The sequence below is a fragment of the Homo sapiens genome, chromosome 16, assembly GCF_000001405.40.
Source record: "Homo sapiens chromosome 16, GRCh38.p14 Primary Assembly".
NCBI lineage: Eukaryota > Metazoa > Chordata > Mammalia > Primates > Hominidae > Homo > Homo sapiens.
In genome coordinates this window covers 2,899,730-2,922,534 of record NC_000016.10, presented here as the reverse complement: position 1 = coordinate 2,922,534, position 22,805 = coordinate 2,899,730, and the positions used below count along the sequence as shown (strand labels likewise).

The following is a 22,805-nucleotide window of genomic DNA, read 5'->3' as shown; positions in this document are numbered from 1 at the left end:
AGGGCAGTCAAACTTATGGGGACAGAAAGTAGAATGGGGGTGCCAGGGGCAGGAGGATGAGGAGGGAGTGTTTCATGGGCACAGAGCAGCCGTTGGGGAAGATGAAAAGGTTCTGGAGATGGACGGTGGTGACGGATGAACAATGAATGTGAACCGCTGACCTGGACACTTCAACATCGAGGCTCAGGGAGAGCAGCTGCTCACAAAGACCAAGGGTTGTAGGATGCAATTTACATGAATGACCAATATGGTAAATTTTACGTCATGTATATTTAACCCTACACACACACACACACACACACACGAGCCATCTGTAACAAACTATACACAAAACACCCCATTTCCCTAACATTATCAGTGAATAAGCTTCTCCCTACAAGGTAGATTTTCTAGTAACTAAAGTTATCCCGCCATGATTCAGAATATGATTTTTATCTGATTCAAAATGTACCCATTTAAGATGGATTCTTTTTTTTAACTCTGTCACCCAGTTGCCCAGGCAGGAGTGCAGTGGCACGATCTCAGTTCATTGCAACCTCTGCCTCCCGGGTTCAAGTGATTCTCCCGCCTCAGCCTCCTGAGTAGCTGGGACTACAGGCGCGCGCCACCACACCTAGCAAATTTTTGTATTTTTTAGTAGAGATGGGGTTTCACCATATTGGCCAGGATGGTCTCGAACTTCCGACCTCATGATCTGCCTGTCTTGGCCTCCCAAAGTGCTGGGATTACAGGTGTGAGCCACCACACCCGGCCAGAATGAATACCTTTTATTTTTTATTTTAGTGGCAGGATTTCACTACAGCCTAAACCGGAGTGTGGTGGCGTGATCACTACAGCCTCTGCCTCCCAGGCTCAAGCCATCTTCCCACCTCAGCCTCCAGAGTAGCTGGGACCACAGGCGCACACTACCATGCCCGGCTAATTTCTGTATTCTTTGTAGAGACGGGGTTTTGCCAGGTTGCCCAGCCTGGTTTTTTAATTAAATTAAAAAAAAATATTTTGGTAATGACAGGGTCTTGCTATATTTCCAGGTTGGTTTTGAACTCCTGGGATCAAGCGATCCTCCCACCTCAGCCTCCCAAGCACCGGATGGATGCCTCTATAAGCTCTTCTCACCCGCTTCCCTGTCCAGAGAAAGGGAGCAACCATCCTCCCTCTGGCTTTAGAAGCAAAAAAAAAAAAAGTCCTAAAATTGATGGTGGTGATACTTGGACAGCTTTCTGAATATATTAAAAGCAATGAATTGTAGACTTAAAAAGTCCTAAAATTGATGGTGGTGATACTTGGACAGCTTTCTGAATATATTAAAAGCAATGAATTGTAGACTTTAGATGGAGAAATCATATGGTATTATGTAAATTATATCTCAGGAAAGTTATTGAAAAACAATCCCTGTCTGGGAATGGTGGCTCACGCCTGTAATCCCAGCACTTTGGGAGGCCGAGGCGGGCAGATCACGGGGTCAGCAGATCGAGACCATCCGGGCTAACACAGTGAAACCCCGTCTCTACTAAAAACACAAAAAATTAACTGGGCGTGGTGGCGGGCGCCTGTAGTCCCAGCTACTCGGAAGGCTGAGGCAGAAGAATCGCTTGAACCCGGGAGGCAGAGGTTGCAGTGAGCTGAGATCGCGCCACTGCACTCCAGCCTGGGCGACAGAGTGAGACTGTCTCAAAAAAAAAAAAAAAAAAAAAGGCCAGGCGTTGTGGCTCACGCCTGTAATCCTAGCACTTCGGGAGGCCAAGGTGGGCAGATCACCTGAGGTGGGGAGTTTGAGACCAGCCCGACCAACATGGAGAAACCCCGTCTCCACTAAAAATACAAAAATAGCCAGGCATGGTGGCATATGCCTGCAATCCCAGCTACTCGGGAGGCTGAGGCAGGAGCTCACGCTATTGCACTCCAGCCTGGGCAACAAGAGCAAAACTCCATCTCAAAAAAACAAAAACAAACAAACAAACAATGGTCAGAATGACTCAGATTCCAAGGGTCTCTTGGTGGAAAAGTGTTTTTTTTTTTTTTTAAGACAGAGTCTCACGGCCACCCAGGCTGGAGTGCAATGGCGTAATCTTAGCTCACTGCAACCTCCGCCTCCTGGGTCAAGCGATTCTCAGGCCTCAGCCTCCTGAGTAGCTGGGATTATAGGCACCTGAAACCACACATGGCTAAATTTTGTTTTGTATTTTTAGTAGAGATGGAGTTTCACCATTTTGGCCAGGCTGGTCTCGAACTCCTGGCCTCTAGTTACCTACCTGCCTCCTAAAGTGCTGGGATTACAGGTGCTCTACTAAACATCAGAAGCTTCTTGTTCTTGGGTTTGGTTTACTCATCAAAGAAGGGGTGGCATGCATTATATGTTGTGAAATTTTCTAAGTTCTAATATCATATTCTAAAAATATATAGAAACTATTTCAGAATGTTAAGACTATAATACTAAAATGACCCCTAATCCTGCCACTCAAATGCACAACTACTTCCATTGTTGAACTAATGCCTTTAAGGCGCTTGCTTTTCTGTAGCACACACTGCGTTCAATCATGTCTGCTACTGTATCCCCCTCGAGAGCAGGAAGCCCCCACCAGAGGCCACCTGGAGTCTTTCCAAAGGACCATTACATAAGGCAGGACCACCCGTCACGGGGGAAGCGCAAATTTAAATCCTCAGCAGCAATACTCCATATGGCCACAAGATGGTGGTGTTGCTCCTGAAATGTTCCTATTGCCTTGGTAAAATTACACGGGTGGCAATGTTTTCAAACAAGAATTTGGAAATTTTTCCAAGTTGGAAAAAAAATTCAAGAGGATTTCCAAAATGTTATATTTACAAAAAGTAGTACTTCGAGCTGGGCATGGTGGTGCGTATGTGTAGTCCCAGCCACTTGGGAGGTTGTGGCAGGAAAATGGCTTGAGCCCAGGAGTTTGAAGCCAATCTGGGCAACATCACATGACCCCATCTCAAGAAACAAAAAATAGGCCAGACGCGGTGGCTCACGCCTGTAATCCCAGCACTTCGGCAGGCCAAGGCAGGCGGATCACGAGGTCAAGAGATCGAAACCATCCTGGCAAACATGGTGAAACCCCGTCTCTACTAAAAATACAAAAATTAGCTGGGTGTGGTGGCGCATGCCTGTAATCCCAACTACTCGGGAGGCTGAGGCAGGAGAATCGCTTGAACCCAGGGGGCAGAGGTTGCAGTGAGCCGAGACCATACCACTGTACTCCAGCCTGGGAGACAAAGCAAGACTCCGTCTCAAAAAAAAAAAAAGAAACAAAAAATTAAAACAAATGAATAAATATACACGCATATATCAGAGAGCAGCTGGGTGTGGTGGCTCACGCCTGTAATCCCAGCACTTTGGGAGGCTGAGGTGGGTGGATCACAACGTCAGGAGATCGAGACCACCTTGGATAACATCTACTAAAACACAAAAGATTAATCAGGAGTGGTGGTGAGCACCTGTAATCCCAGCTACTTGGGAGGTGGAGGCAGAAGAATTGCTTTGGAGGTTGCAGTGAGCCGAGATCATGCCACTGCACTCCAGCCTGGGCAAAAGAGGGAGACTCTGCCTCAAAAAAGAAAAAAAAAGAAAGCAAAATCCAATTAACAAATTCAGTAAAGACTATCTTTCTAAACAAGTTTTTGTTTCCAAAAAAGACCAAAATATTACTTGGACAAGACACTACGTTCTAGCCCTCAATCCACTGGTCTTTCCTACTATTTCCTTTCTATTCTGGTCATATTTGTTATTCATTGGCGAATTTTATTTTACATGTTTATAACTTAAAAACATTTAAGGCCAGGCACGGTGGTTCACGCCTCTAATCCCAGCACTTTGGGAGGCCGAGGCAGGCGGATCACCTGAGGTCGGGAGTTTGAGACCAGCCTGACTAAAATGGAGAAACCCCGTCTCTACTGAAAATACAAAAATTAGATGGTCATGTTGGTGCATGCCTGTAATCCCAGCTATTCAGGAGGCTGAGGCAGAAGAGTCACTCGAAACCGGGAGGTGGAGGTTGCAGTGAGCCAAGATCCTGCCATTGCACTCCAGCCTGGGCAACAAGAGCAAAACTCCCTCTCAAAAAAAAAAAAGCCTGGCGCGGTGGCTCACGCCTGTAATCCCAGCACTTTAGAAGGCCAAGGCAGGCGGATCACGAGGTCAGGAGATCGAGACCATCCTGGCTAACACGGTGAAACCCCGTCTCTACTAAAAATACAAAAAATTAGCTGGGCGCGGTGGCGGCCGCCTGTAGTCCCAGCTACTCGGGAGGCTGAGGCAGGAGAATGGTGTGAGCCTGGGAGGCGGAGCTTGCAGTGAGCCGAGATTGCCCCACTGCACTCCAGCCTGGGCGACAGAGCGACACTGTCTCAAAAAAAAAAAAAAAAAAAAGGAATCCAAGGCCAGGCACAGTGGCACATACCTCTAATTCCAGCACTTTGGGAGGCCGAGGTGGGTGGATCACTTGAGGTCAGGAGTTCAAGACAAGCCCGGCCAACATGGCAAAACCCCATCTCTTCCAAAAAATACAAAAATTACCTGGGCATGGTGGCGGGCGCCTGTAATCCCAGCTACTCAGGAGGCTGAGGCAGGGAGAATTGCTTGAACCCAGGAAGTGGAGGTTGCACAGTGAGCCAAGATCGTGCCACTGTACTCCAGCCTGGGCAACAGTGAGACTCCATCTCGAGGGGGAAGAAAAGACTCCAGATTTTGGGGGGTGGGGAGAGGATCGGGGGAGGGGAAGAGGGAGGCCAAAGGAAGAGGGAGGAACAAGAATCTAGATTTTTCACAAATCCTCCTGATACTGATAGACTGTGAACTAGACTTTGACAAACACTAGAATAGATGACCTTGGGAAACAGAAGACTGCAGCTAAGCGACGAACCTAAGCAACACCTGAGGTTTGCTTTGTGCTGGGCACTAAAATACCTGAAGTATTTTATCTACATCATCTCATTTACTCTTTAATGTCATACAGGTTTCCTCATTAATGTCACAGAAAATCATTAACGGCCGGGCATGGTGGCTCACACCTGTAATCCCAGCACTTTGGGAGGCTGAGATGGGCGGATCACCTGAGGTCAGGAGTTCGAAACCAGCCTGACCAACATGGCAAAACCCCGTCTCTACTAAAAATACAAAATTAGCTGGGCGTCGTGGTGGGCGCCTGTAATCCCAGCTACTCGGGAGGCTGAGGCAGGAGAATCGCTTGTACCCGGGAGGTGGAAGTTGCAGTGAGCAGAGATCCCACCATTGCACTCCAGCCTGGGTGACAAGAGCAAAACTCCATCTCAAAAAAAAAAAAAAAATTATTAACAAGCTTACTTTGTATTATTGGGAAAGTCATGGCTTTTTAAAAATTTTTTTTACTTTTTTTTATTTTTGAGACAGAGTTTCGCTCTTTCACCTGGGCTGGAGTGCAGTGGCATGATCTCGGCTCACTGCAACTTCTGCCTTCTGGTTTCAAGCGATTCTCCTGCCTCAGCCTCCCAAGTAGCTGGGATTACAGGTGCGCGCTACCACGCCTGGCTAATTTTTGTTATTTTTTTTTTTTTTTTTACTAGAGATGGGGTTTCACCATGTTGTCCAGGCTAATCTCGAACTCCTGACCTCATGATCCACCCCCCTCGGCCTCCCAAAGAGCTGGGATTACAGGAGTGAGCCACCATGCCTGGCCGATTTCCTCGTTTTTGAAAGTATTAGCAATTTAACAAGTTTCAGGAACCTTAGGGGTATTTTGGGGAACCTCAAGAAGAGAGGAATTTGCCCAAATTTTAAGTACTACAGGTAAAATCTGATGGAGAAAGCATCCTGGACTTGCCTTCTGTGTCTCAGGATATCAAACAACGAATTTTTAAATTTCTTTTTTCTTTTTTTTATTTTTTGTTTTGTTTTGTTTTTTTGAGATGGAGTCTCGCTCTGTCACCCAGGCTGGAGTGCAGTGGTGCGATCTCGGCTCTCTGCAAGCTCTGTCTCCTGGGTTCACGCCATTCTCCGGCCTCAGCCTCCAGAGTAGCTGAGACTACAGGCACCTGCCACCAGGCCTGGATAATTTTTTGTATTTTGTTAGTAGAGACGGGGTTTCACCATGTTAGCCAGGATGGTCTCTATCTCCTGACTTCGTGATCCGCCTGCCTCAGCTTCCCAAAGTGCTGGGATTACAGGCGTGAGCCACCACACCCGGCCTGTATTTTTGTTTTGAGATGGAGTCCCACTCTGTTGCCCAGGCTGGAGTACAGTGGCATGATCTCAGCTCACTGCAACTTCTGCCTCCTAGGTTAATTATCCTGACTCAGCTTCCTGAGTAGCTAGGATTACAGGCACGCACCAACACGCCCAGCTAACTTTTGTTTTTAGTAGAGATGAGGTTTCATCATGTTGGCCAGGCTGGTCTCGAACTTCTGACCTCAAGTGATCAGCCCGTCTTTGCCTCCCAAAATGCTGGGATTACAGGTGTGAGCCACGGCACCTGGCCAAAACAACAGACTTTAAAAAGTCTAAGTTTCCTTATGGAGACTTCCAGGCAGGCAAACTCAGGTAGGCTTATCTGGTGAATCAGTACTATTGCTGCACTACATAATCAGGCCAAATATGATGAAATCAGCCTTATAATCAAAAATATGTTTCCTTGGCCACTGTAGAAGAGGCCAGTTTTGCCTCCATTTGCACATTCATTTCAATATTCCTGATCTAGAATCTTGTAGATTCTTCTTTGGATTCTCTCTTTTTTTTTTTTTTCTCTCGACACAGAGTCTTGCTCTGTCTCCCAGGCTGGGGAGCAGTGGCTAGATCTCAGCTAACTGCAACCTCCGATTCCCAGGCTCAAGCCATTCTGGTGCCTCTGCCTCCCGTGATCCGCCCACCTTGGCCTCTCAAAGTGCTGGGATTACAGGCGTGAACCACTGCGACCAGCCCATGTAATTTTAAAAATTGCTGACTGGAACCTAATGATTTTAGGACCAATGACTAAGCAGTTTCAAAAACAGTGCCCTAGACCAAAACAAAGGAAATACAATTCTTTTATACTCATATAAAGCAAACACATGTTAAAGATTTTACTTACCGTTAGCCAGTAAGGTGGAGCTCAGGAGTTTGAGACCGGCCTGGCCAACATGGTGAAACCCTGTCTCTACTAAAAATACAACAATTAGCTGGGCTTGGTAGCACAGGCCTGTAATCCCAGTTTGCCGCCTGGCCAACACGGTAAAACCCTGTCTCTACTAAAAATACAAAAAAATTAGTCGGTCGTGGTGCATGCCTGTAATCCCAGCTGCTCAGGAGGCTGAGGCAGAACTCACTGAACCTACCGGGGAGATGGAGGTTGCAGTGAGCCAAGATCACACCAATGCACTCCAGCCTAGGCAACAAAATGAGACTGTCTCAGGAAAAAAAAAAAAAATTTCAGTGCATGTAATAAAAATGAGTATATTTTAATACATTTATATTATTTAATAAATTCAATAAATATCTCATTTAATAAAAATTAGAAACTTTTGTTACTCTAGTTTAAGTGCTTTTTTTTTTTACAGTAGATACCCATTGTTTTACAGTAGATACAGGGGCCCTAATGTGTTTCTTTTGTAATGTTCAATCTTCATTCAGTACAAATTTCTTTTTTTTTTTTTTTTTTTGAGACAGAGTCTCACTCTGTCGCCCAGGCTGGAGTGCAGTGGCTCGATCCTGTCTCACTGCAACCTCCGCTGAATCCTTGAACCAGGTTCAAGCGATTCTGCTCCTCAGGCTCCTGAGTAGCTGGGATTACAGGTGTGCGCCACCACGCCCAGCTAAATTTTTTGTATTTTTAGTATAGACAGGGTTTCACCATGTTAGCCAGGCTGGTCTCAAACTCCTGACCTCTGGTGATCTGCCCACCTCAGCCTCCCAAAGTGCTGGGATTACAGACGTGAACCACCATGCCTGGCTGCACTCAGTACAGATTTCTTAAGTGAATGGAGCACAGGCCGGCAGATTTGCATGGAAAGCTCCAAAGTCTCAGTTCATGGTGCATCACTCTCCTGTCCTCTCTCCCCTTCTCCCAGAATTGAGGGTGCGGAGCAATTTGAGTGCAATGCCAGATGGCCTACTGGGACGCTGCGGTCCTGCTGGTGACCACAAGGGCTCAGCGTAGACCTAAGGGTCACATGTTAGCAACTGTCAGGTGTCTCTCAGACACCAAGGGGTCCAAACTCTAATCAGTAAGGCTCGAAAACCAGGCGGCTCTGTCGGCAGCTGATGGAGCCACAGAATTACCTTCACACGTGAGTGAGAAGCGTCACCATCATCCCCCACACCTGGGTCACGGCGCTGGCTTGCTGGGCAGGAGCCCCGGGGGCAAATCCCGTAACTTCTCTGGGCTGGTTTCACCTGTGAAGAAAGTAAAGTGGCAAATGAAATACTGCAGGTGAAATTATTCCATGAACTGTCGACCATTAGACAAGAACAAGGTGTTCAGCATCCAGGTGCAGTAGGGGTCCTGAGTGATAGGAGCGGGAGGAGGGAAGGCCCTCTGTTTAAAAAGCTTCTGAATGGGCCGGTGGCACGGTGGCTCACACCTGTCATCTCAGCAGTTTGGGAGGCTCAGGTGAGAGAATTGTTTGAGCCCAGGAGTTCGAGACCAGCCTAGGCAACATAGTGAGACCTGCCCCTCGCCCCCACCATTTCTACTAAAAAAATTTTTTTTTAAAGCTCCTGGATGACTCCAGTGTCTACCCACCTCCCACCTACCCGCAACTGAACCATGAGCGTTGGAGGTGCACTTGCCTCAGACATGAACCACTATGGTGACATCACAGGCTCAGTGGGTGCACACAGACATTCCTCCTGAAGAGGTTGAAGGTGGCAGAGATGCCCAGATAATTAAAATTTACTCTAAAAATGAACTTCACAATCTCAGCACCGTTGGCATTTTGGGCCGGATGATTCTGCTGTGGGAGGCTGTCCTGTTCAGCGTGGGGTGTTCAGCAGCAACCCCGGTCTCTACCTGCCAGATCCCACTGTCATGCCCTACCACACGTTGTGACCACCAACACTGCAGAACGTTCCCTGGGGTGCAGAATTGCCCAAGAGCCACAGCTCCAAAGCAACTTAGAAATTAGAGCGCACAGAAAGGGAGAGCTTGGCCAATGAGACCCCCCCAGCCCGGTATTCCCCAGTCACCCTCCATCATAATATAAGTTTATTTACTCCTTCCCACAGCCTAATGCATCCTCAAATCTCTCTCCCTCTATGCCTGATATACCCATCTTCCCTCTCCTTCCCACTCCCACCAACTCAGGACATGATCCCTTACCACGACCTCTTTAGCCCAAGCCAAAGCCTCTGAACGATCTTGCCAGCTTTGGCAAGCAGCCACTCCAATTCTCCACATAGGGTGCTGACAGGTCACTCTTCCTAAAGCTTAACTTTCAGCATGTCTCTCCCCAATTAAATCATCTCCATCTCCAGCCTTAGTGCATCATCAGCTGGGCGTCATAAACACTCCGCAATCTAGCCCCAACCTCAGCCTTGTTCCTTCCACACGTCCCGCCAGTAGCACTTGGGAAAGGAACAAGAGAAACATGATATAATCACACGAGAAAATCTAGATCAAGCCCTGGAAATCATATTGGCCCTTGGAAAGCAGAAATATGCAAATAAAAATAAGCCATTTCGTTGGAATTGGAGTTTGCACATGATTATCTGACTATGGGAGTTCAGCTTCCAGTACAAGGAATAAAGGAACAACAGGCAGGGTTTAGAGCGAGGGTTTCAACTACGTCAGACCCGTTATGTGCAGGCTCCATGGGTTAGCAGCAGCCTTTTGGAACGGGGTGGAAGAGAATGGAACGGAATTTAATCCGAACAGATCCAGCTGCGTCATGTGAGCTTAAACAAGCGTCTCCCTTTAAACTTGTGCTTCAGTCATCCAGACCCACAGGCACAGAGTACACGCGTAAAAGGCATTTCTCAGTGTCGGCTGTGGGTCAACAAAGTTCGAAAGCCGTCACCGGAGATCTATAGGGTCAGAAGCGGGAGCGGGGTGCGTCCCGACCCGCAAAAGTGCAAGGTCACTGGGACCGCCCGAGCTGCAACCGTGGGACGGGGCTGATGCTGCGGGTCCAGGAAGGCAGCGCTGGGCGGGGCAGACACCGCCAGGAAACGGCGGACGAGTGCGGGGATCCTTGATGTGGGGGTGTCGGGCTTAGGCCAGGGGACGGGGGGGTGGGGATGGAGGGGCGAGGAGCAAGGAGGGAATCGCGGGAGACCCCACAGGAGGCGGCCTGAGCGCCGGGACGCAGACCCCTCCCCAGCACCCGCAACCCTCGGGACCCCCGGGAGAGCCGGGCTGCGGGCGCGTCCACGCCGGGGACGCGGGACATTCCCCGCCCGCAGGGGCCTGTCCTCACCGACGGCAGCGGGGCCCTCCCTCTCCCGCGACAGCGCCGCGGCGGATCCTTCAGCCTCTGCCGCTGCAGCAGCGAGCGTCGACCCCGCGACCCAGGCCGCCGCCGCCACCCCGACCCGGGCACCAGCTCCCAGCCCCGACCTGCCCCTCGGGAGCGAGCCCCGTGACCGCGCGCGCGACCCCGCCGGGGAGCCGGCCTTGCGGAACGCTCAGGCGCGCTACTTCAGAGCATGCGCAGCAAGACCGCGCGGCCCGTTCCTTAGGTAAACCGCTGCTCCGGGTCTTCCCTGCGCGGCGCCGAGCCGCAGGCCTGGCCTGTCAGCGCATGGGGGCGGGGACGTAACTCACGGAAAAGGCGGGGCCATCCCGAGATTGGACGGCGGCGTCCAGGGGCGGAGCTAGGATGGGGGAGCTGAACAGGACGCTCTTGGCGTAAAGGGGCTGGGGTAGGGGGCGCTTAATTGAGACCCCAGGACGGTCCCCAGTATCTGAGGCTGCCCGCAGGAAACGGAGCGTTTGCTGAGATGCACTCTTGGGCCTGTCAGTTTCCTGACCCCGTGGGAAGGCGATTCTCATGCATCTCATTGACGCCCCCAGTGACCCTACCCCAGAGCGGAACCAGTGTGAGATTCAAATAAACAGCGATAGCAACGGATTATAACCTTGACTACGATATGAGTCCAAACTGAAGGAAATAAGTCAACGGGGGAGAAGGGACAGTTGTTTCTTACATCAGAAAGCCAACAACGACAAAAAAATACCTGGGCCGGGCGCGGTGGCTCACGCCTGTAATCCCAGCACTTTGGGAGGCCGAGGCGGGTGGATCACCTGAGGTCAGGAGTTCGAGAACAGCGTGGCCAACATGGTGAAACCCCGTTTCTACTAAAAATACGAACATTAGTCGGGCGTGGTACTGGGCGCCTGTAATCCCAGCTACTCGGGAGGCTGAGGCAGGAGAATAACTTGAACCCGGGAGGCGGAGGTTGCAGTGAGCCGAGACGGCGCCACTGCACTCCAGCCTGGGCGACAGAGTGAGACTGTGTCTAAAAAAAAAAAAGCAGAAATATTACATAGTATTACAAAGTCTGCATGACGTGTGATGTAACACATTGAATGTAGAAGCAGGTATGAGAGCCAGTAGTCTTCTTTTAAGCCCGCAACAAAGATATTTGCAAAAATGTATAACTATGTCACTCGTCTCACTAAATTTCTTTGGGAAAATATTGTACTTTTTCATAAAACTATGTTAACACAATCAGCTTACTATTTTTTGGTAAGATCTTTATTGAAATATAATTCACATACCATGCATTTCTCCCATTTAAAGTGTACAATTAAATGATATGTAGTATAGTCAGAGAGTTGTGCAAACAGCACCATAGTCAGTTTTAAAACCTTTCATCACTCCAAGAAGAAACCTTTAGCCACCACCCTCCAATTTGCTAATCACCCCAGCCCTAAGTAATATGATCTATTTTCTGTCTTTATAGATTTGCGTATTCTGCATATTTCATATAAATGAAATCATGCAACAAATATGTGGTCTCTTGTGACTGACTTCTTTCGCCTAGCCTTAGCATAGCACTTTCAAAGTTCATCCATGTTGGCCGGGTACAGTGACTCTTGCTTGTAATCCCAGCACTTTGGGAGGCTGAGACAGGAGCATCGTTTGAGCCCAGGAGTTTGAGATCAGCCTAGGCAACATAGTGAGACTCTTTCTCTACAGAAAAAAAGAAAAGAGGAACAAGAGAAAATTAGCTGGATGTGGTGATGCGCTGTAGTCCCAGCTACTCAGGAGGCTGAGGTGGAAGGATCACTTGAGCTTGGGAGCTGGAGGCTGCAGTGAGCTGCGCTCATGCCACTGCACTCCAGGCTGGGCGACAGAGCAAGACCCTGTTCAAAAATAAAATAGTAGCAGAACTTAATTACTTTTTTTTTTTCTTGAGATGGAGTCTTGCTCTGTCGCCCAGGCTGGAGTGCAGTGGCACGACCTCAGCTCACTGCAACCTCCATCTCCCGGGTTCAAGTGATTCTCCTGCCTCAGCCTCCTGAGCAGCTGGGATTGGGATTATTACAGACAGTTGCCACCACGCCCGGCTTTTTTTTTTTTTTTTTCTTTTTTGAGACGGAGTCTCGCTCTGTCGCCCAGGCTGGAGTGCAGTGGCGCCATCTCGGCTCACTGCAAGCTCCGCCTTTCGGGTTCACGCCATTCTCCTGCCTCAGCCTCCCGAGTAGCTGGGACTACAGGCGCCTGCCACTGCGCCCAGCTAATTTTTTGTATTTTTAGTAGAGACGGGGTTTCACCGTGGTCTCGATCTCCTGACCTTGTGATCCGCCCGCCTCGGCCTCCCAAAGTGCTGAGATTACGGGCGTGAGCCACCACGCCCAGCCCCTCCAGCTTTTTTTGAGAGGAGTCTGACTGCGATGCCCAGGCTGGAGTGCAATGGCGCTATCTTGGCTCACTGCAACCTTTGCTTTCCGGTTCAAGAGATTGTCCGCCTCAGCTTCCCCAATAGCTAGGACTACATGCGTGCGCCACCATGCCCGGCTGATTTTTGTATTTTTAGGAGAGACGGGGTTTCACCACGTTGTCCAGGCTGATTTCAAACTCCTGACCTCAGGTGATCTGCCCGACTTGGCCTCCCAAAGTGCTGGGATTACAGGCATGAGCCACCATGCCCGGCCAGGATGCTGTTTTTGTTTCTTCGTTTGTTTTGTTTAGTTTTTGAGACAGAATCTCCCTCAGTCGTCCAGGTTGGAGTGCAGTGGTGAGATCACAGTTCACTGCAGCTTCCATCAAACTCTTGGGTTCCATTGATCCTCTTGCCTCAGCCTCCCAAGTACCTGGCACTACAGGTGCACACCACCGCACCCGGCTAATTTTTTTTTTTTTTTTTTTTTTTTTGTGGAGACGGGGTTTCCCTATCCTGCCCAGGCTGGTCTTACATTCCTAGGCTCAAGTTATTCACCCGCCGCAGCCTCCCAAAGTGCTAACCACCACGCCCTACCTTTGGCACCCTTGTTGACAACCAATTGATCATAAATGTGGTTTGTTTCTGGATTCTTGATTCTATTCCATTGATGTATCTATTACTTATTTATTTATTTAGAAACGGAGTCTTGCTCTTCTTGCCCAGGCTAGAGTGCAATGGTGCGATCTTGGCTCACTGCCATCTCTACCTCCCGGGCTCAAGTGATTCTCCTGCCCCAGGGTCCCAAGTAGCTGGGATTACAGGCACCCACCACCACGTCCGGCTAAATTTTTGTATTTTTAGTAGAGACAGGGTTTCACCATGTTGGCGAGGCTGGTCTCGAACTCCTGACCTCAGGTGATCTGCCCTCTTGACCTCCCAAAGTGCTAGGATTACAGGCATGAACCACTGCGTCCTGCCTGTTATTCCTTTTCAATATTCTTTTGCCTACTCTGGGTCTTTTGAGTTTCCAGTTGTCATCTTTCTTGTCAATCTTTGTGAAAATGAATCACTACCTTTAATTTTACATCGTTGAGACCACCGCAATTTTTTTTTTTTTTTTTTGAGACGGAGTCTTGCTCTGTTGCCCAGGCTGGAGTGCAGTGGTGTGATCTCGGCTCACTGCAATCTCTATCTCCCGGGTTCACGCCATTCTCCTGCCTCAGCCTCCCGAGTAGCTGGGCCTACAGGCGCCCGCCACCAAGTCCGGCTAATTTTTTGTATTTTTAGTAGAGACAGGGTTTCACCGTGTTAGCCAGGTTGGTCTCAATCTCCTGACCTTGTGATCTGCCTGCCTCGGCCTCCCAAAGTTCTGGGATTACAGGCGTGAGCCACCACGCCCGGCCGCAATTATTATTATTATAATTATTTTGAGGGGGACTCTCGCTCTGTTGCCCAGGCTGGAGTGCAATGGTGCGATCTCGGCTCGCTGCAAATCTGCCTCCGGGTTCAAGCGATTCTTCCGCCTTAGGCTCCCGAGTAGCTGGGATTACAGGTGCGCACCACCACCCCGGCTAATTTTTTAATTTTTTAAATTTTTTTTTTTTTTTTTGAGACGGAGTTTCGCTCTTCTTGCCTAGGCTGGAGTGCAATGGCGCGATGTCAGCTCACTGCAACTTCTGCTGTGGGCGGCAAGCCACCCAGGCGCCGAGGCAAGAGACTGAGGACACAAGCTGTTCCAGTATAATAAAATATAAAACAAGAATAGTTATACCAGATATAGATCTTAGACATGATTATATATGAATATCATTAATCATTAGTTTGTAGTAATTACTCTTTATCCCAATATTATAATAATCCCCGCTCTATAATCATAACCTAGGAAAAACCAGGCCATACAGAGATAGTGTAGCAGGACGAGTCGCAGACAAAACTCCTCAGACACCGGATTAAAGAAGGAAGAGGTTTTTTTATTCGGCCGGGAGCGTCAGCAGACTCGTGTCTTAAGAGCCGAGCTCCCTGAAAAAGAAATTCCTAGCCCTTTTAAGGGCTTACAACTCTAAGGGGTCTACGTGAAAAAGTCGTAATAGATCAAGTAAGCATGAGGAACGTGACTGGGGGCTACAAACATCAGTTAACAGAACAAAAAGTTTTATAGTGCTTTCTCATACAATGTCTGGAATTTACAGATAACACCAGTAGTTTTGGTCAGGGGTTAATAATAATATTATTATTTTAGCCACCAGGGCCGGGTGGTGGCGCCAAGGTCGTCTAGCTATTTATCTTACTTCTGTTTCTTTCCAACTTTTTGCTTTCTCTCTTTTCTCCTGTCTTATAAACTAGGGAAAAGGGGAGGTTGGGGAGAAACTGGGAAGGACAACAGGAGAAGTGGTGGCCTCATACCATAATAGGAGCTGAGGGGACACAGTGAGGTGTGACCAGAAGACAAGAGTGCGAGCCTTCTGTTATGCCCGGACAGGGCCACCAGAGGGCTCCTTGGTCTAGCGGTGACGCCAGCGTCTGGGAAGACACCCGTTGCCAGGGGGACCATGGTCTAGCTGTAGCGAAAAGTGTCAAGGAACAACACCCGCTACTTAGCAGACCAGGAAAGGGGGGGGGGGTCTCCCTTTCCCCGGGGGAGTTTAGAGAAGACTCTGCTCCTCCACCTCTTGTGGAGGGCCTGACATCAGTCAGGCTTGCCCACAGTTATCCGGAGACCTAACCGTCTCCCTGTGATGCTGTGCTTCAGTGGTCATGCTCCTAGTCTGCCTTCATGTTCCATCCTGTACACCTGGCTCTGCCTTCTAGATAGCAGTAGAAAATTAGTGAAAGTACTGAAAGTCTCTGATATGCAGAAATAATGGTGTAAGCTGTCTTTCTCTTTGTCTCCTCTCTCTCTCTGCCTCGGCTGCCAGGCAGGGAAGGGCCCCCTGTCCAGTGGACACATGACCCACGTGACGTTACCTATCATTGGAGATGACTCACACTCTTTACCCTGCCCCTTTTGCTTGCATCCAGTAAATAACAGTGCAGCCAGACATTCGGGGCCGCTACCGGTCTCCGCACATTGGTGGTAGTCGTCCCCCGGGCCCAGCTGTCTTTTCTTTTATCTCTTTGTCTTGTGTCTTTATTTCTACACTCTCTCATCGCCGCACACGGGGAGAGACCCACAGACCCTGTGGGGCTGGTCCCTGCACTCTGCCTCCCGGATTCAAGTGATTCTCCTGCCTCAGCCTCCTGAGTAGCTGGGATTACAGGCATGCGCCACCACGCCCGGCTAGTTTTGGATTTTTAGTAGAGTCTGAGTTTCTCCATGTTGGTCAGGCTGCTCTCTAACTTCCGACCTCAGGTGATCCACCCACCTTGGCCTCCGAAAGTGCTGAGATTACAGACGTAAGCCACCCCTCCCGGTCTTAATTTTAATTTTTACTAGAGACGTGGTCTCCCTATGTTCCCCAGGCTGGTCTCAAACTCCTGAGCTCAAGCGATTCTCTCTCCTTGGCCTCCCAAAGCATTGGGAAACAGACGTGAGCCACCCCAGTCAACCTCCTTTTGGGATTCTTGCAACTTTTCTGTAGGTGAGAAATTATGTCAAAGTAGAAGCTAGATAAAGGAATACTCCCTTCATCCCCTGAGCATTCCACGAGGTGAAATCCTCCTTTTCCCATTGGCCCAGCCACCGCCCAGCCCGTGGCCATTGGTCCAGCCCTCGCCCATTGGTCCAGCCCCGGCCCATCCCTCGTCCATTAGTCCAGCCCTTGCCATTGGTCCAACCCATCCATTGGTTCAGCCCCGCCCATTGGTACCGCCCCCTTCCATTGGCTCAGACCCCGTCCTTTGGCCCCGCCCTGCCCATTGGCCCTTCGCTCGCCCATTGGTCTAGCCACGCCCATTGGCCCAGCCCATCCCTCGCCCATTGGTCCATCCCCGCCCTTTTGTTCCACCCCTTCCGTCGGCTTAGTGCCCGCCCTTGGCCCGGCCCGCCCATTGGTCCAGCCCCGCCCATTGGCCCAGCCCCGGCCCAGCCCTAGCCCATTGGCCCCGCCCCGGCCCAGCCCTAGCCCATTGGCCCCGCCCCGCCCATTGGTTCAGCCCCACCCATTGGTTCCGCTCCCTTCTATTGGCTCAGCTCCGCCCCTTGGCCCCACCCCGCCCATTAGTTCAGGCCCCATTCATTGATGTCCAGCACTCGCCCATTGGTCCACGCCTTGCCCATTGGTTTAGCCCTCGACCACTGGCTCACCGCTAGCGAATTGATTCGGTCCCCGCCCACTGGTCCCTCCCCTGCCCACGGGCCCCGCCCTTCCCGCTGTCCCTTCCTGGCTCAGCGCGCGCCAAGGACACATTCTCCAGCAACGCGGTGCGGTACCGGGCTGAGTCCAAGCGCCAGGAGCCGCGGGGTCCTGGTTGCTGTTTTCCTGTGACGCTTGGCGGCGGCGGCCAGAGCGGCCCCAGCACCGTGCCCTGGGCTCACTGCGGCTCTCCTATCACCCAGGGGTCGTCCCGGTCCGCCCGCACTCTTCTCTCCGCCCGACCCCCCTCTGGCTGCGCGTCCTCGGCTGGCTCGGGGAGGGCGCCGCTCCTCCCTGGGAGACCCCAGGGAGACCCGCCTCACGGCCTGCGCACCTCCTCTCGCTCTAAAGCGGCCGCTGGAGGAGCCACAGGTCTGGCGGGTCCATGTCGAGGTGCCCTGGGCTCCCGCACGACCCCACGGCCTCCTGCGTCCCGCACCTCTTGTGTCCTGCAGCCGCCCGCGTCCTCTCTGGGACCCCTTCCTTCCGAGTCCGTCCACATCCCCGGCGGTTCCTCTGAAATCCGCACCCCCCAACCCCGGAACCTCGGCTCTTCCGCGCGCTCCTCGTCCCCGCATCCTCAGCCCCTAGATGTCCTCCGCGTTCTGTATCCCCCTGCACCACACCGCTCCCTCTCTCCCTGCCCTTCGCACTAGGACCCTCAGGGACCAAAATCGTCCAAGATGCCTTCCCTGGTGTCGAGTTTATGTTAAGGGGTTGGGTGAGGAGACCAAAAAGCAGTGGATGTGGTAACCACAGGGGCGCCGTGTGTCCGAGTCGGGCGCCTGTCGGAGGAAGCGAGACGGGAGGAGAGGCTGCGGCTCGCGCCCTGGGCAGCGACAGTGTGGACGCCATTGCAATTTCCCAACGGCTGCCACCCGCAGGGTCAACACACAGGCCCCCTCCACCCCTCCCAGTCGCCCACCTCCCATCCCTGCAGAAGCCACCTTAGAGCCGGTGTCTGGGCCGTAAGGAGCCCGGGTGGGGGTCAGGCGGGTGGGCGGAGCGGGACTGAGGCTGCGGGGCGGAACCGCACTCCTGGCTGCCAGCACTGCCTGGGTCCTGGGGAGGCTGCTGGGCCGCCGCTGAGTCCGCGCGCGCCCTCTCCCGGCCGTCAGGAGCATCGGCCAGAACGTCTCCAGATTCCGGCCCTGAACCCGGATGAGGCCCTGCCCAGCGCTCGGTGCTGTCCAAGGAAAATGAGACCTCGAGGTGAAAAGCGCAGAGGCTGTGCACGCTAGGGCCAAGCGGAGGACGCGTTATTACTGTTTTCTTCTTGATGATAAAACCAGGTGTTGACAAATGCCGGAGAGATCGGCATTCGCAGGACGTGGGTTGAATGTAACTTGCATTCTTCCAGTTCGGCAATCTCACTTCTAGAACTCTGTCCTAGGAACATACGAGGCTATTTCAGGATTGCTTACAACCTGGAGGCAACCGGGATGTGTCTGGCCACTGGAGCTAGTGGATTTCACGCATCCCTGCAGTGGGCATCAAGCAGCAAAAAGAATGTTGTGCAGCATTCATAAGAAGGAAGACATTTGTAACACATTATGAAAAAACATATGTGGGCCAGGCACGGTGGCTCATGCCTGTAATCCCAGTACTTTAGGAGGCCGAGGCGGGAGGATGACTTGAGGTGAGGAGTTCAAGACCAGCCTGGCCAACATGGCGAAACCCCGTCTCTACTTAAAAATACAAAAATTAGCCAGGCACGCTAGCGCGCGCCTGTATTCCCACCTACTCGGGAGGCTGAGTCAGGAGAATCACTTGAACCCGGGAGGCGGAGGTTGCAGTGAGCCGAGATCTCCCCACTGCACTCCAGCCTGGACGGCAGAGCGAGACTCTGTCTCAACAACAAATGTGTGGCATCACCTTGATTTTCTGAAAATAAAAAAATTTTAAAAATATATATTTTTTGGCCGGGCGCGGTGGCTCACGCCTGTAATCGTAGCACTTTGGGAGTCTGAGGCGGGTGGATCACCTGAGGTCGGGAATTCGAGACCAGCCTGACCAACATGGAGAAACCCTGTCTCTATTAAAAATAAAAAATTAGCCAGGTGTGGTGGTGCATGCATGTAATCCCAGCTACTGGAGAGACTGAGGCAGGAGAATCACTTGGACCCAGGAGGCAGAGTTTGTAGTGAGCCAAGATCGCACCACTGGACTCCAGCCTGGGCAACAAGAGTGAAACTCTGGCTAAATATATATATATAGCCAGAGTTTATATATACAAATATATAAATATAAATATATATAAATATATAAATAAATATATATAAATATATAAATAAATATATATAAATATATATAAATATGTATAAATATAAATATATATATAGCCAGAGTATATATATTATATACACACACACACACATATATTTTTTAAAATTTACCTCTAAGTAGTGGAATTACTGGAGGTAATTTGTAATTTTTGTCCCCTTTTCAAAATTAAAATTAATGACATCTACACTCAGCAACCACACACATGGGCGGGGGGCACCGTTCTTGGAGCTACTGCAATACCAGGTCGATGCATGGAGTGAACTAAGTAAGCTGCTATTGCAACCCCCTCCTACAAAAATCCACTTTATATACATTTTTTTAGACAGGGTCTCATCATGTCACCCACTCTGGAGCTCAGTGGTGCCATCATGGCTGACTGCAGCCTTGACTTCCTGGGCTCAGGCAATCCTCCAGCCTCAGCCTCTTGAGTAGCTGGACTATAGGTGAGCTCAGGTGATCCTCCTGGCTCAGCTTCCCCAGTAGCTGGGACTACAGGCACGCACCACCACACCTAGCTAATTTTTGTATTTTTTTGTAGAGTCAGTGTCTCACTATGTTGCCCAGGCTGGCCCCCACTGGGTTGGCCTCTGTCATACACCCCGCGGCACCCAGACTCCTCGGTGGCCCTTAGCCTCAGGTTCATAGACTCATCAGTCAGGGATTTCTATGTTTCCTCTGTGGCTCTGCGGGGGATGGGTTGTGACCTGTTTACCACTAGATCCCGGGAACCCTGCTTGGGCCTGTACATCAAAGTCCCCAAGAAGTGAAGGAGCAAGAAAGTGGCAGAATTTTTAAAATTTTCAATTTAATTTAAAAAATTAATGTTTTAAAATTTGTGTTTGGATTTAAAATGTGAATGGATATCCATAATTGCATTTTTTTTTTTTTGAGATGGGGTCTCGCTCTGTCGCCCAGGCTGGAGTGCAATGGCATGATCTCGGCTTACTGCAACCTCCACCTCCTGGGTTCAAGTGATTCTCCTGCCTCAGCCTCCCGAGTAGATGAGATTACAGATGCCCACTGCCACGCCTGGCCAATTTTTTGTATTTTTTAGTAGAGACAGGGTTTCACCATGTTGGCTAGGCTTGTCTCCAACTCCTGACCTCAGGTGATTCACCTGCCTCAGCCTCCCAAAGTACTGGGATTACAGGCGTGACCATGACCGGCCATAATTGCAATTTTTTAAACAGTTATTTGTTTTTTGAGATGGAGACTCACTCTGTCACTCAGGCTGGAGTGCAGTGGTGTGATCTCAGCTCACTGCAACCTCCACCTCCCGGGTTGAAGCCATTCTCCTGCCTCAGTCTCCCGAGTAGCTGGGACTAGAGGCACCCACCACCACACCTGGCTAATTTTTGTATTTTTTTTTAGTAAAGACGGGGTTTCGCCATGTTGGCCAGGCTGGTCTTGAAATCCTGACCTCAGCTGGTCCGCCCGCCTCAGCCTCCCGAAGGCAGGGATTACAGGCATGAGCCACTGCACCTGGCCTATTATTTCAATTTTAATATCAAATTGCTAACACTAGGCTGGGCACGGTGGCTTGTACCTGTAATCCCAGCACTTTGGGAGGCCGAGATGGGAAGATCGCTTGAGCCCAAGAGTTTGAGACCAGCCTGGGCAACACAGCGAGACCCCATCTCCTCAAAAACTCAAAAAAGTAGCCTGCCTGTAGTCTCAGCTGCTCAGGAGGCTGAGGTGGGAGGATGATTGCTTGAGCCTGGAAGGTCTGCTGCACTACAGCCTGGGCAACAGAGCAGGACCCTGTCCCTGTCTCGAAAAAAAAATAAAAATAAAAGTAAAAATAAAAAATAAAGAACAGGAGAGGGGCTCCGGGATATGGGTGGCAAAAAAAGGCAACATGGGGTCCTAACCTGGCCATTTTTGTCCTCACTGCTCACTGGGATGTGGTGTGGATGATGCTGGGTGATATCACGGAACCAGCGGCGATCCTCTCAGGCACACTCGCATTAACATGGCTATGACTGGGAAGGGTGTGCTCAGAGGTGCAGGCAGAATGGTTTTGGAGTCTGCTGCCTGCATTTGGATGGTTTGGCAAAAGAGAAGTGTGTGGAGGAGAGACAGAGGGAGGGAGAGAGAAAAAAGAGGAGAGAGAGAGGGAAGGAGAGCCGGGGAACCCAGGCCAGGGCGATACAGTATGCACTGCGTGCTCCTGCAACTTTTATGCTCCAAATGTTTCAAAATAAAACCAGAGGGTGAGGAAAACAGTGATGTGGCCAGGCCCAGTGTGCAGGCTCCAGCTCCCCAGTATGCGTCTCCCTCCCGGCCGACTGCCAGCGCCACTGAAAGACTCAGGCCCAGGGCACCTTTGTCATTCCCCCAACTCCACTAAAAGGTGGCAGCAAAAATGCTCCCCCGCTCCCGGCCCTGCTGCTCCACAGCCACCCCTCACTGCTGGGTAAGGCTTCCCAGGCAACAGCAGGAGGGGCCCGATGGTGCCACACTGAGTACAGGGCAGACGCGCCCCACAGTGACCCTGCCCTCTGACCCACCCCGGCCTCCTCTTCCTCACTCCCACTTCTTGAGGTTGCACCCGAAACGTCCTGCCCTGACATCCTCAGGTGTCCTTAACATCTGACAAGAACAGACAGCCAAGGGTACTTGGGAACAGGCCTGGAGCAGTGGCTCACACCTGTAATCCCAGCACTTTGGGAGGCCGAGGCAGGCAGATCACCTGAGGTCCAGAGTTCCAGACCAACCTGGCCAACATGGTGAAACCCCATCTCTACTAAAAATACAAAAACAGCCAGGCATGGTGGTGCGCACCTGTAATCCCAGCTACTTGGGAGGCTGAAGCAGGAGAATCGCTTGAACCTGGGAGGCGGCAGTTGCAGTGAGCTGAGATCACACCACTGCACTCCAGCCTGGGCTACAGAGTGAGACCCCATCTCAAAAAACAAAACAAAACAAACGAACAAAAAAACACTTGGGAAAGGAGAAAGCATGGTGGAGAACACAGAAACCATCTGAATATAAAATCAGGGCCAGGCATGGTGGCTCATGCCTGTAATCCCAGCACTTTGGGAGGCTGAGGCAGGCAGATTACCTGAGGTCAGGAGTTCAAGACCAGCCTGGCCAACGTGGTGAAACCCCATCTCTACTAAATATATAAAAATTAGCCGGGCGTGGTGGCGGGCGCCTGTAATCCCAGCTACTCAGGAGGCTGAGTCAAGAGAATCGCTTGAACCCGGGAGGTGGTGGTTGCAGTGAGTCCAGATCGTGCCACTGCACTCCAGCCTGTGCGACGAGTGAAACTCCGCCTCAAAACAAACAAACAAAACCCTAACATTGCCTTGAGCCCAGAGGCAGTTGTCAAAGAATGAGGACTCATGGGAAGCCTCCTGGAGGCTCGCTGACTTGGGAGCTCAAGTAGGGTAGCTGTGCTTCCTTCATCTCCCCTCCAGCAGGGATGGCAC

The 22,805-nt window shown here is 50.8% G+C and overlaps 1 protein-coding gene across 24 annotated transcripts in view, besides 11 other annotated features; it reads right to left on the bottom strand.

The window, feature by feature from the left end:
• Nucleotides 1–10,604, bottom strand: part of FLYWCH1 (FLYWCH-type zinc finger 1) — a 39,278-nt gene extending 28,674 nt beyond the window's left edge. For 20 of the 24 annotated variants that reach the window (XM_047434780.1, XM_047434784.1, XM_047434776.1 and 17 more), the window contains exons 1-2: nucleotides 10,381–10,604; nucleotides 8,246–8,359 (exon numbers count right to left, since the gene is read on the bottom strand). The gene's annotated coding sequence lies outside the window, so the exon portion shown is untranslated. Of the gene's footprint in view, nucleotides 1–8,245; nucleotides 8,360–9,284; nucleotides 10,100–10,380 lie in introns of those variants that run through there. The other 4 variants (XM_047434775.1, XM_047434782.1, XM_047434781.1 and 1 more) reach the window with 4 other exon arrangements.
• Nucleotides 9,971–10,160: a silencer, noted in NCBI's record as "fragment chr16:2962376-2962565 (GRCh37/hg19 assembly coordinates)". NCBI's record gives its function as "represses an EF-1alpha promoter that drives an FKBP-Casp9 reporter gene in an ReSE screen in K562 erythroleukemia cells {active_cell/tissue: K562}" and the evidence as "EXISTENCE:reporter gene assay evidence [ECO:0000049][PMID:32094911]".
• Nucleotides 9,971–10,233: a biological region, named in NCBI's record as "ReSE screen-validated silencer GRCh37_chr16:2962376-2962565".
• Nucleotides 10,134–10,233: a silencer, noted in NCBI's record as "silent region_7085". NCBI's record gives its function as "represses an Ori minimal core promoter by ATAC-STARR-seq in GM12878 lymphoblastoid cells {active_cell/tissue: GM12878}" and the evidence as "EXISTENCE:reporter gene assay evidence [ECO:0000049][PMID:35858748]".
• Nucleotides 10,264–10,413: a silencer, noted in NCBI's record as "silent region_7084". NCBI's record gives its function as "represses an Ori minimal core promoter by ATAC-STARR-seq in GM12878 lymphoblastoid cells {active_cell/tissue: GM12878}" and the evidence as "EXISTENCE:reporter gene assay evidence [ECO:0000049][PMID:35858748]".
• Nucleotides 10,434–10,743: a silencer, noted in NCBI's record as "silent region_7083". NCBI's record gives its function as "represses an Ori minimal core promoter by ATAC-STARR-seq in GM12878 lymphoblastoid cells {active_cell/tissue: GM12878}" and the evidence as "EXISTENCE:reporter gene assay evidence [ECO:0000049][PMID:35858748]".
• Nucleotides 10,794–10,853: a silencer, noted in NCBI's record as "silent region_7082". NCBI's record gives its function as "represses an Ori minimal core promoter by ATAC-STARR-seq in GM12878 lymphoblastoid cells {active_cell/tissue: GM12878}" and the evidence as "EXISTENCE:reporter gene assay evidence [ECO:0000049][PMID:35858748]".
• Nucleotides 15,241–15,310: a silencer, noted in NCBI's record as "silent region_7081". NCBI's record gives its function as "represses an Ori minimal core promoter by ATAC-STARR-seq in GM12878 lymphoblastoid cells {active_cell/tissue: GM12878}" and the evidence as "EXISTENCE:reporter gene assay evidence [ECO:0000049][PMID:35858748]".
• Nucleotides 16,477–17,296: a silencer, noted in NCBI's record as "silent region_7080". NCBI's record gives its function as "represses an Ori minimal core promoter by ATAC-STARR-seq in GM12878 lymphoblastoid cells {active_cell/tissue: GM12878}" and the evidence as "EXISTENCE:reporter gene assay evidence [ECO:0000049][PMID:35858748]".
• Nucleotides 16,477–17,411: a biological region, named in NCBI's record as "H3K27ac hESC enhancer GRCh37_chr16:2955125-2955625".
• Nucleotides 16,911–17,411: an enhancer, noted in NCBI's record as "H3K27ac hESC enhancer chr16:2955125-2955625 (GRCh37/hg19 assembly coordinates)". NCBI's record gives its function as "activates a minimal SCP1, AML or CMV promoter by ChIP-STARR-seq in naive H9 embryonic stem cells {active_cell/tissue: H9 hESC(naive)}" and the evidence as "EXISTENCE:reporter gene assay evidence [ECO:0000049][PMID:30033119]".
• Nucleotides 17,967–18,196: a silencer, noted in NCBI's record as "silent region_7079". NCBI's record gives its function as "represses an Ori minimal core promoter by ATAC-STARR-seq in GM12878 lymphoblastoid cells {active_cell/tissue: GM12878}" and the evidence as "EXISTENCE:reporter gene assay evidence [ECO:0000049][PMID:35858748]".